Source organism: Homo sapiens, chromosome 8 (assembly GCF_000001405.40).
Source record: "Homo sapiens chromosome 8, GRCh38.p14 Primary Assembly".
NCBI lineage: Eukaryota > Metazoa > Chordata > Mammalia > Primates > Hominidae > Homo > Homo sapiens.
Window position 1 is genome coordinate 52,540,882 of NC_000008.11, and position 12,189 is coordinate 52,553,070.

General features: G+C 40.0%; 1 protein-coding gene across 1 annotated transcript in view, besides 1 other annotated feature; it reads right to left on the reverse strand.

Annotated features, from left to right (window-relative positions):
- The window catches only part of ALKAL1 (ALK and LTK ligand 1), a 31,394-nt gene that overhangs the window by 6,845 nt on the left and 12,360 nt on the right, over positions 1–12,189 (reverse strand). The window contains exon 2 of the mRNA NM_207413.4: positions 1,511–1,564. Coding sequence (NP_997296.1) covers positions 1,511–1,564 — 54 coding nt within the window. The remainder of the gene's footprint in view (positions 1–1,510; positions 1,565–12,189) is intronic.
- Positions 4,937–6,136: an enhancer, noted in NCBI's record as "MED14-independent group 3 enhancer chr8:53458378-53459577 (GRCh37/hg19 assembly coordinates)". NCBI's record gives its function as "activates an origin of replication core promoter dependent on BRD2, BRD4, P300/CBP and CDK7 cofactors, and independent of MED14, by STARR-seq in HCT116 cells {active_cell/tissue: HCT116}" and the evidence as "EXISTENCE:reporter gene assay evidence [ECO:0000049][PMID:35650434]".

The window sequence follows — 12,189 nt, forward strand, 5'->3', positions numbered from 1 at the left end:
CATCTCCACTTGATCCTCAGGACCATCCTTTCCGTTAATAAACAGGTAGGGCCCTTGGACTTGACTAAGTGGGCAAACCACATCTTTCCCACATTACAGGCCTGAGGTGTAAAACAAGAAAAAAGTAGCTGGGATGACTGGGAACAGAGAGGCAATGCCAATAGTAAATATGGGGATGTACTGTTTAAAATAATTCAGTGATTTGCTAGAAATTGGGACATAGGACAATGTGCAAATGATTCACAAAGTTGATATGAAGAACCAAATAGTGTCATGGCACAGTATTTATCTGTGCTCAAGATGTGGCAGGTGGGCCTGGTGCAGTGGCTCACAACTATAATCCCAATGCTTTGGGAGGCCAAGGCAGGAGGATCACTTGAGCCAGGAGTTCAAGACCAACCTGGGCAACATAGTGAGACCCCATATCTAGAGAAAATAAAAAATTCGCTGAGTGTGATGGCACAGCAGTCCCAGCTGCTTCGGAGGCTGAGGTGGAAGTATCCCTTGAGCCTATTTGTTCAAGGCTGCAGTGAGCCATGATCTCACCACTGAACTCCAGCCTGAGTGATGGAGCCAGACCCTGTCTCAAAAATAAAAAATTTTTGGCCGGGCGTGGTGGCTCACACTTGTAATCCCAGCACTTTGGGAAGCCAAAGCAGGTGGATCACTTAAGGCCAGGAGTTTGAGACCAGCCTGGCGAATGTGGTGAAACCCCATCTCTACTAAAAATACAAAAGATTAGCCAGGTGTGGTGGCACATGCCTGTAATCCCAGCTATTTGGGAGGCTGAGGCAGGAGAATAGCTTGAACTCGGCAGTGAGCCGAGATCGTGCCACCGCGCTCCAGCCTGGGCAACAAGAGCGAAACTCTGTCTCAGAAAAAAATAATAATAATAAATAAATATATTTTTAAAAGATGTAGCATATGAAAGTCTGTCCCTCCCTGTTCAAAAAATTTATATTGCCCCCTCCCTCCCTACCCCCACCTGGTTGGGGAACATAGTCTGAATTCCCTAGCATGCCACTTAAGATTATCCACAACATGACTCCAACCTACCTTTCCAGCCACATATTTGACCAGGGCCAAATACGTCCCTACCTAAGCCCACTCACAGTCTGTGCACACCTGTCCTTGCCTAAACCACACCCGGTGTCTTCATGGCTTACTCAATGCACTCCTTCTGAACAGAAGGTCTCCCTCACCACGGGAAAGCCTTATTCATCCCTTAAAGCCCACCTTAAATACTGTGTCTACTACAAGCCGTTCTTGGTAGTTCTTGGCCACTTTATTCACTTCCTGTGTATCCTTAAAAAGTGGCTCATACTTCTATTACTTATTAAGGGCTGGTTTACATTACAGTTAACACAAGTTAGTAGCATCCGTCCATCTCCCCAACTGGACCATGAGTCCCCTACAGACATTTATTTTCATATCCCTAGTGCCTGACATAGTATTCTGCACACAGTCTTTTTATTTAGTTAATGGAATCACTGATACATTTTGTACTTACCTGTGAAATGCTTTATGAATTTGTCTTTTAAGTTAGAGTCTCTTGGGAATATTTCTGAAAAGAAAAAAAAAACCATCAGAATTTATTGAATGCATTTCTCCCATTTAAAAATATCCTTAATATGCTAATTACTTAATAAGGCACTAAACACATGGATTTGTGACAGTTTATTTAGCTGATCCCAAACTGGTTTCTCCAGCCCTGACCATTTCCTGGGCTCCAAAACTGCAGTACAACTCACTGCTTGCTCTACGGCATGAAGGGTACCTTACAGATCTCTCAAAAGTGCACAGCCGCAATGGAAGGTCTCCTTTTCCTCTGCCCAGACCTGTTTCTCCCGTGTTCCTCAGTCCACTGAAGACTGACTGAAGTGGCATCACTCTTGATCAGGCCCCAGCTCAAGAAGTTATGCTTGACTTCCTTTTTCCCTCACCCCTACACCCAAACCATGAGTTAGTTTTATGTATTTCACCTTCAACAAATTATTCCAGACCCACTCACTTCTTTCTCCTTCCCTCAACGAGTCTGGCCCAAGCCATCGTCCTTTTGTGACCATGCCTTGGCAGTGGCCTCCTAACCCCTCTTCTCCTCCCCATAATCTTCTTTCTCCCCAGTAGCCAGAACAAACAAACAGAAATATACTATAAGTCATGATCTCTCCCACTTGGAAGGTTTTGCACTTAATACATAATAAAATTTAAAAATAAAATTGTATCTCAGGCTTTACCTTCTACTCACTAAAACTACACCATCCAGAAAATGCAATTTATACAAACAATCGGGAGCATGTGCAACTCTTTCAAAGGAAGAGAAAACTTAAACTTTAGTAAAATAGTTGAGCCTCAAGGTTTGTTGGTAGGTATACATTTAAACTTACAACATTTTAAGAATATAATGGGGAAGTGAAGGTTTGTCATCCCCCTCTAGGAGAGTCTGAGCCATCACGGTGATGAGTGTGACTTCGCCAGCACAAGGCAGTGGTGACTGAGGCTTGGTAAATGCAGATGCAGGGATTCTAACTGTTCCTTACATGCCATGAGCTCCTGAGGGACGTGGGAACACTTCCCTGTGCAGGGAGCTCCCCAGTTCAGGGCAGCCTTATGTGAGTTCAGGGCCTGGTTCAGGGCGTGATTGTGTGGGTGCGCAGGAATGCAGAGAGATCGGAGCTCCCCCACCATTTGACAATGAACACCTGCACTTTACAAACAATTAAAACTAATCCTGAAAAACAAAGCAGCAGTAAAATGAAAGTACTTCATATAAACCTTTCCTCTTCTCTTCAATAATGCTCCAGCCCGAACATAGGTCTTTTCCCCTGTACTTCTCAGAAACCAAAAACAACAAATTGGCTTCTGTGGTGTCAATATTTGGGCCAGGTAGTTACACTGGTGCTTTCTGAAAAATGAATGAGCTGAGTACAGCAGAAGCACCTACTGTGGTTAAGGCATGCTCAAAGACTTTATAAATAATTCTATTTCCAAAAGCATTTTAGAGTATAATTTTAATCTCTAGACCCTGTGACAATGATGACACTCAGGTGTGTAGAAAATTACATATTTTAAGTAAATTACCCTCCTCATCTCCACCCCATAGCACATTTTATAACTTCTATCAAAGCAGATGTCACATTCTGGTTAGCATGATGGGGCACCGTGTGTGTCTGTCTTCCCCACAATTATGGCTTCCTGAGGAAAGGGATGCGGTCTTGTCCCCCTGTACAACCCGGCTTTGCTGGCAGAGGCACCTGGCACATGTTCAAGGAATAGGAAGCCAAGAGGGTTGCTACCGCTCAAATGGAAACATCAGTGCCTCCTTGTACTCAGTACAGCCCACCAAGAAAACCAGAATTTCAATACACTTGAATTTTAACTTCAAAACACAAACATCACATAGGAATACAAGAATGTACAACAGATTGATTTAGCTGAAACAGAAAAGTGGTGTTTAAGTTGACACCCGAAGTAACAAGCCAGAGATAAGAAGGTAAGAAGAGATGGGAATGGGGAAGACTGCAGCGTGTTCAAGTATTGGGGGAAATGTCCAGAGCTGCTGAAGAAGAGGTGGGTGAGACAAGGCTGCAGGTGCAGGTAGGCTTTAGAGTTAAGTCGTACACAAACTTTGTGCTTAATTCTGTGGGTGATGAGAAGTCAAAAGGCTTTAGGCAAAGGAATGGTACGGTTAAGCTATTTTCAAAAGACCGTTGAGGGAGGGAGGGAATGGGGAGAATTGGCCAAAGGATACAAAGCTGCAGATGGGTAGGATGAGCAAGTCTAGAGGTCTAATGCATGGCAGAAGGACTGCAGGGAATAATGATGTGTTGTATATGGGATAATGACTAAGAGAGCAGAGTTCAGGAGTTCTCACCACCAAAAAAAAAGGGCAACTGTGAGATGATGGATATGATTTGCTTGACCACAGTAACCACTGCACTCTGTATACATATATCAAAAATTATGCTGCATACTCTAAAGACATACAATAAAAATAAACAAAATTATATACACCATTCAAACATTTTTTAATAAATAAATTTTGTTTTTTTGAGACAGGGTCTTGCTCTGTTGCCCAGGCTGGGGTGCAATGGTGTGATCACAGCTCACTGAAGCCTCCACCACCTGGGCTCAAGCGATCCTCCCACCTCAGCCTCCCAAAGTGTTGGAATTAGAGGCACGAGCCACCAAACCCAGCATAAACTATTTTTAATAATAAAAAACAATTATGCCTAAGTATTGTGAAAGGAAAATAAATCTCAGGACCCCAAAATCACTAAGCCAAGGGAAAAGTCAAGCTGGGAACTATGTTAGGCAAACCTGCCTCCCATTAATTCCTAAATAAGATAGTTACAAAGATAAAAAGCTACATACATCCCTCACGATTTGCCCACAAGAAAATTCTTTGTGGATGGAGGACAGACAGAACTCAAAGTCATCCCTCTGAGGCTCACCTGACACAAATGCATATGATTGCTTCCTCTGCCCTATTGTTTATGTAAAAATGCAGATTCACTGAGCCACACTAAATTGTGTACTCAGTGGAAGGCTGATCAAAGACTCAAAAGAATGCAAACTTTTGTCTCTTATCTACTTTTGACCTGGAACCCCCCCCACACCCACCTCCCTCCCTGCACACACCCCTTTCCCCTCAAACCCGTTTCCCCTCCCCCATCCCCCTTCAACTTGTCTTACCTTACTGAACCCAACCAATGTACATCTTACACATATTGATTGATGTCTCATGTCTCCCTAAAATGTATAAAAGCCAGCTATACCCCAATCACCTTAAGCACATGTCAGCAGGACCACCTGAGGCTGTGTCATGGGTGCATCCTTAACCTTGACAAAATAAACTTTCTAAATTGATTGAGACCTGTCTCAGATACTTTTTGGTTTACAGTACAGAGGGCAAATAATAGATGCAGACAGATAAGTTAAAAGGTTTACAGTCATGTGCTGTTTAATGATGGAAATATGTTCTGAGAAATGCATCGTTAGGAGATTCCTCCATTGTGGGAGCATCATAGAGTGCATTTACATAAACCTTGGTGGTAGAGTCTCCTGCACACTCAGCTATATGGTATAGCCTATTGCTCCTAGGCTACAAAACCTGTTGTGCTGAATACTGTAGGTAGCTGTAACACCATGGTGAGTATTTGTGAATCTAAACATATCTATACATAGAAAAGGAATAGTAAAAATACAGTATTATAATCTTATAGGACCACCATGGTATATGCAGTCTGTAGATGACAGAAACGTCCTTTTGTGGCACGTGACTGTAACTGTATTGACTAGCACTGGCCTATGCAGGGGCTAGCAAACAACAGCTCCTGAGGCAGATCCAGCTTGCTCCTGTGTTTGTGAATAAAGCTCTGCTGCAACATGCCCACATCCATTTGTTTAGGGGTCGCCAGTGGCTGCTTTTTCACTACAAGGGCAGAACTGAGTAGTTGTTGCACAGATACTATGGCTCACTGTAGAAAGCAGAAAAGTTCCTCATTAAAGTTCGTCTTGCTTTAAAAATAAAATAATAGACGCTAGGAATAATAGCTCCTTACTCCAAAGCCTCCTATCAACTATTAGTTCTCATACTTTAGCCCAGTTAGTTGCTTTGGCTTACTCAGGCATGTCTGGACAGGCCCAGGCAAGTCTTAGCTCATAGCTTATGCCCCTTCCTTATTTGGAAATGTTATTGCTTCCTTAAACCTTTCATAAGCAACTTCCTTTTCTTCTTGGTTCTCCCTTGCACTTACCTATTTAGGGAAATTTTAGGTTATTAGCAAATCGGGTATCAGTTTAAGACTGTGAGGTCCAGCTCCAGCCAATGGATGCAGGACACAGCAGTAAGGACAAACCAAATGCGTAAGGGATAAATATGTCTGCTTTTCCTTTGTTCAGGTGTATTGTTGCCATTGTTCCATCTGTGAGGGGCACCCTTTCTGCAGAAAGTAAAGATTGCCTTGCTGAGAGATCCTTTGTCTCTGTGCTGACTTTTCTTTGCACACTGATTATCTGCCCAAAATATTGACTATGTGGCCCTTTCTAAAGAAAGTTTGCCAATGCCTGCCCTGCAGCACACTCCTATTTGCAGTAAAAACAAATTAAAATGGTGGGAGGCGCCAGGGAGCAGAATTCTGGGGTGGAGAGAAGAGATATTTTTCCATGCACACCCTTTTTATTACTTTTAACTTTTTTGAATATAAATCTGTATTAATTTTTCAATAAAAAACTGATTGAAAATGAATTTGCATTTAGTGACTAGATGCACGCAGTAGTTTTTGATCCACAAAATATTAAATAAACAACTGAATATAAGAAAATTACCCCAGGCCGGGCATGGTGGCTCACGCCCATAATTCCAACACTTTGGGAGGCTGAGGCAGGTGGATCACCTGAGGTCAGGAGTTCGAGACCAGCCTGACCAACATGGCGAAACCCCATCTCCATTAAAAATACAAAAAAATTAGCCTAGCGTGGTAGCGTGTGCCAGAAATCCCAGCTACTCGGAAGGCTGAGGGAGGAGAATCAATTGAACCTGTGAGGTGGAGGTTGTAGTGAGCCAAGATCGCACCACTGCACTCCAGCCTGGGTGACAGAGCAAGATTCCATCTCAAAATAAATAAATAAATAAATATAAATAACTAAGTAAAAAGAAAACTCCCCGCAAACAATGAAACTAGTTGATTTCTCTCTGATGGAAAATGTTCTAAGAGAGCAGCATCTACAATGAGATAAATGGGAGCCACACATGTAATTCTAAATGTTTAGTAGCCACATTCAAAAAGTAAAAAGAAATGTGTGAATTAATTTAATAATTTGGCCAGTCACAGCGGCTCACGCCTGTCATCCCAGCACTTTGGGAGGATGAGGCTGGAGGATCGCTTGGGCCCAGGAGTTTGAGACCAGCCCAGGCAACATAGTGAGACCTCATTTCTAAAATTAAAATTAAAATTAATTTATTTTAACTAAGTATAGCCAAAGTGTTACCATTTCAACTTGTTTTCAACAATATTAATTACTAATGAGATACTTTACTTTTTTGCACTAAGTTTTCAAAATTCAGGGTGTATTTTGCACATTCAGCACATCTCAGTTTGAACCAGCCACATGTCAAGTGCTCAGTAGCCTCATGGCTTGTGGATGTGGTGTTGGACGGCATAAGTCTGAAATGTAACTTTACGCCGGGTGCAGTGGCTTATGCCTGTAATCTCGGCACTTTGGGAGGCCGAGGCCGGTGGATCGCCTGAGGTCAGGAGTTCAAGACCAGCCTGGTCAACATGGTGAAACTCTGTGTCTACTAAAAATACAAAAACATTAGCCGGGCATGGTGGCACACACCTGTAATCCCAGCTACTCAGGAGGCTGAGGCAGGGGAATCACGTGAACCTAGGAGGCAGAGGTTACAGTGAGCTGAGATCGTGCACTCCAGCCTGGGCGACAAGAGCGAGACTCCGTCTCAAAAGAAAAAAAAAAAAGAAGAAGAAATAAAATAAAATGTAAGCTTCAAATGACAACTAGATATGAGGAAGAAGTGCTAGTGTTCTATAGCACTGTAAGATGACTACAGTAAACAATAATATACTGTACAATTTCAAGTAGCTAGAAGGAGGATATTGAATGTTCCCAACACAAAGAAATGATAATTGTTTGAGATGGATATGCTAATGACCCTGACCAGATCACTGTGCATTATATATATTGAAACATCACTATGTACCCATTATTTGCCAATTAAAAAATAATATAAAATGTATGCTTCATTCCTGTGATATATAATTACAATTATATAAAAGATTACATTATTTGGGAGGGTTAAAATCAAACAGATCTCTAGGTAATGCATGATCATTATCTTGGAACAATTTGAATAAATGACTATCTCATTCATCCAATTTGTAAAAGTTTCTAGTTTTTATTTACTAAAACAGTTGCCATCTGCAGCCCTCCTCAATTGTAAGTTTACAAAATCTTTTAAAGAAATAGATGTGCATATATATGTACATATATATGTTGGCATACTATCTCTTATTCTTATATTCTTGTTTAAAAATGAGCCATGATCATGTGAAATAATAAAAAATATAATGCAGTACAACCAGAAAACAAAATAATTGAAAATGTTTACTGTTTGCTTCTACCTGCATATAATTTGACTATCTTCCATAAAGATAATTTGTTCTGATATGATTTACTGTTGACAAGCCTTGTTAATTGATCCTCAGTCCTTTGTAAGGTACTATGGAACATTATTTTATGTTTCAATCTAGCATTACATTAGGTACTTAAATCAAAATGTTTGCTGTACAGTTCTTTGAGTTATTTATTTTAAAAACAAGACACTACTAATCTCATTACTAATCAATACTAATAAATCTAATCATTGTATAACAAGTTCCCATTTCAAAAATAAGAACAATTACCTTTATTACAGCAGTACTGAGAGAATTATAGATGAGAACTGTTTTCAGAGAAAAATTCAAATTTAATTTCAAAATGACAAAAAATTCAAATTTGTAAAATATATAGCAGAAAAAGCTATACTATATTAAATATAGTATATATATTAAATATATAATAGTAGAAAAAGCTACTTCAACCTCTGCCTTCATCGTAACATGAAGTTCTCCTGTGTCTCTGTATCTTCCCATGGCTGTCATCTTATTAACAACACCAGTTGTATTGAAAAAGGGCCGACTCTAGTATGACCTTTTAAATATATTAAAGTTGACTTTTAAATATATTCAAGAAATATTTTTTTAAAAATACTAAATTGGCCGGGCACGGTGTCTCATGTCTGTAATCTCAGCACTTTGGGAGGCTGAGGCAGGCAGATCACTTGAGGTCAGGAGTTCGAGACCAGCCTGGCCAACATGGTGAAACCCCATCTCTACTAAAAATATAAAAATTAGTCAGGCGTGGTGGCACACACCTGCAATCCCAGCTACTCGAGAGGCCGAGGCAGGAGAATCACTGGAACCAGGGAGGCGGAGGTTGCAGTGAGCCCAGGTCACGCCACTGCACTCCAGCCTGGGTGACAGAGTGAGACTCCATCTCAAAAATAAATAAATACATAAAAATACTAAATTAAAAGCATTTAAAAATAAACTGTCATAAAATGTGTGCCTTCTTCTTTCCTTATGTAGTTACATAACATCTGTACCAGTATATACTTGTAAGTGTATAAATATTTGTAAATACATGTTTTTATATCATGCTTCTTCTATTACAGTTTAAGATATTTAAATAGAGGGATGTATGTGTGTAACTCTCTTTTTTACACACACATTAGCTGGGTGGTTTAATGAGACCTAAATGCCATTTAGGCTGTAAATTACGCAGAGGATAAAAAAGTAAACTCAAATTGGTTGCTTATTATCTTCTAAATTTTTGCTACGTTCTACAGACTAGCAGTGTTAGCATCTTCTGGGAGCATGTTAGAAATGCAAACCAAGCCCAGACTTACAGTCAGACTTTTATTTTACTGGAACACAGTATGTTGGATAGACTCCCATTGGTATAATTTTGTGTGGCGCTTTTGAGCTGCAGAGACAGAGTTGAGTAGTTGCAAGCACTTTCTCAAACTTTACATATGGAATAAGTACAGACGGATTCTGCCTTCAGAAACGACCATATATTGTGTATTTGTTTTGTAGGGCTGCCATAACAAAGTTCTAGAAATGGGATGGCTTATATCAACAGAGACTTGCTATCTCGCAGTTCTGGAGGCAAGAAGTCTGAAATCAAGATGTGGGCAGGGCCATGCTTTCTCTGAAGTCTTGAGGGAAGGATCCTTCCTTGCCTGTTCCAGCTCTGGTGGCTGCCAGCAATCCTTGGCATTCTTTGGCTTGTGGATGCTTCACTCCAATCTCTGCCTTCATTGCCACATGGAGTTCTCCTGTGTCTCTCTATCTTCCCATGGCCATCATCTTATTAAGACATCAGTTATACTGAAAAAGGGCCAATTCTACTCCACTATGACCTCATCATAACTAATTACATCTGCAATGACCCTATTTCCCAATAGGGCCACACTCTGAGGCACTAGGGGACTAGATCCTCAATGTATTTTGAGGAAGAGGAACACAATTAAATTCCTAATGTATGAAATCTGAATTCACTGAATAAATTGGAATTAGCTATCTGCATTATAAAAGTTAATTATTTTCACAATAATTTGCTCAAAATTATTTTTAAATGATTTAACCAAGACATCAAAAAACATGACTTATTTACAAAATTTCAATGGGGCATAACTTTTATATAAATAAATATATTCTGTAATGTGAGGTTTTATTACAACCTCCTGTGAAAGAAATCAGCTAGTCAATTTAGCCAATGCAAGTTGTAAAGACCCACCTACAAAGAATATCCTGACTGAAAAACTTCCGAAAATAGAAAATATTTATTTTTATTTTTATTTTTTTAGAGACAGAGTCTTGCCCTGTCACCACAGCTGGAGTGCAGTGGTACAATCATAGCTCACTGCAGCTTCAAACTGCTGGGCTTAAGCAGTCCTCCTGCCTCAGCCTCCCAAGTAGCTAGGACAACAGGCATGCCACCATGCCCGGCTAATTCATTTTTTTTTTTTTTTTTTACTTTTTGTAGAGAAGGGGGTCTTACTTTGTTGCCCAAGCTGGTCCTGAACTCGTGGCCTCAAGAGATCCTCCTGCCTCAGCCTCCCAAAGAGTTGAGATTTCAGGTGTGAGCCACTTTGCCTGACCAGAAATATTTTTAAAACATCACTCACTCCAGGTTATTTATATTATTTAAAGTTTTTGTAGCAGTGTTATTTGGATTTTTTTCTTATTTTCTAAGTAGCTTTTGAAAAAATAAATTATTTATTTATAATTATTCTTTCTGTGACAAATAGCTTTAAAAGGCAGTATTTATATCCTAAAACTAAAACCCAAAGTTTTGGAAGATGTCAACCACCTTCAAGAGTGATATAAAACTTTTAAAATAAGTCTTTTATTATTGAGCAGTTTTAGATGCACAGAAAAATTACATAATACAAAGCATTCCCATATGCCCTGCCCTGGTGTCTCCTATTATTAACATTACATTAGTATGGCACATTTCTTGCAATTAGTGAACCAATACTGGTACATTCTTACTCACTAAAGTCCATACTCCTTTCAGATTTCTGTCACTTTTCCTTGATGTCCTTTTTTGTCCCAGGATGCCACATTGCACTTAGTCATCATGTCTCCTTAGGCGCCTCTTGGCCGTGATAGTCTCTCAAAATTTCCTTGTTTTGGTAACTTTGAGCATTTGGAGGAGTCTTTGTCAGGTATGTTGTAGAATGTCCCTCATTTGAGATTTGCCTGATGTTTTCCTTGTGATTAAACTGAGATTACGGGTGTTAGGGAGGAAGACCACCGAGGCAAATGCCATTTTCATCACATCCTGTGAAGGGTGCACACTTTTAGTGTAATTTATGTTTGCTGGTGTTGACCTTGACCTCCTGGCTGAGTCCCTGTGTGTCAGGATTCTTACTGCAAAGCTACTCCTTCCCCACCCCAGTCCCCCAGCCCCGTACTGTACTTCTCAGAAGGAGGTCACTATGCTCAGCCCACACTTGAGGACTGGGGAGTTGTGTCCCTTCTTTGAGGACATAGTATCTACATGCATTATTTAGAATTCTTCCGCATAAGAGGTTTGTCTTTTCTCCTCCAGTTATTTATTTACTCATTTATTTACACAAGCAATGACTGATGAATATTTTATATTTTGTGTTATAATCTAATAGTACTTTCTTTATTTTGTGTCTCAGATGGTTCTGGCTCTGGCCATCATGAAATGTTTTACTTGGCTCCTGTGTTCCTTTGATTCTGTCATTAGTAAGTTTTTGTTGTTATTTTTATTGCTTTGTATTTGTTATCACTTTTTAAAAACTTTCTGGCATTATCAGATACTCTAGGCTTATTTCTTACTATTTTCTGTCCTAGTCTTGGTTTTAGGGATTTCTCCAATCAACCCTGGTTCTTTTACTGGAGAATGGCATTAGAAACCAAGATCAGGGCATTTGGTGTGCTCCTGGTGACTACGGTGTGGCTGCTTCTAGCCCCTCGAAGCTGACAGAGCAAGGAAAAATGTGTACGGTATAAGTGAGCAACTTGATTTTTATATATCCAGTGTTTAAATTATTTCTAAAATTGGACTATGGTACTTAATGGTATATAT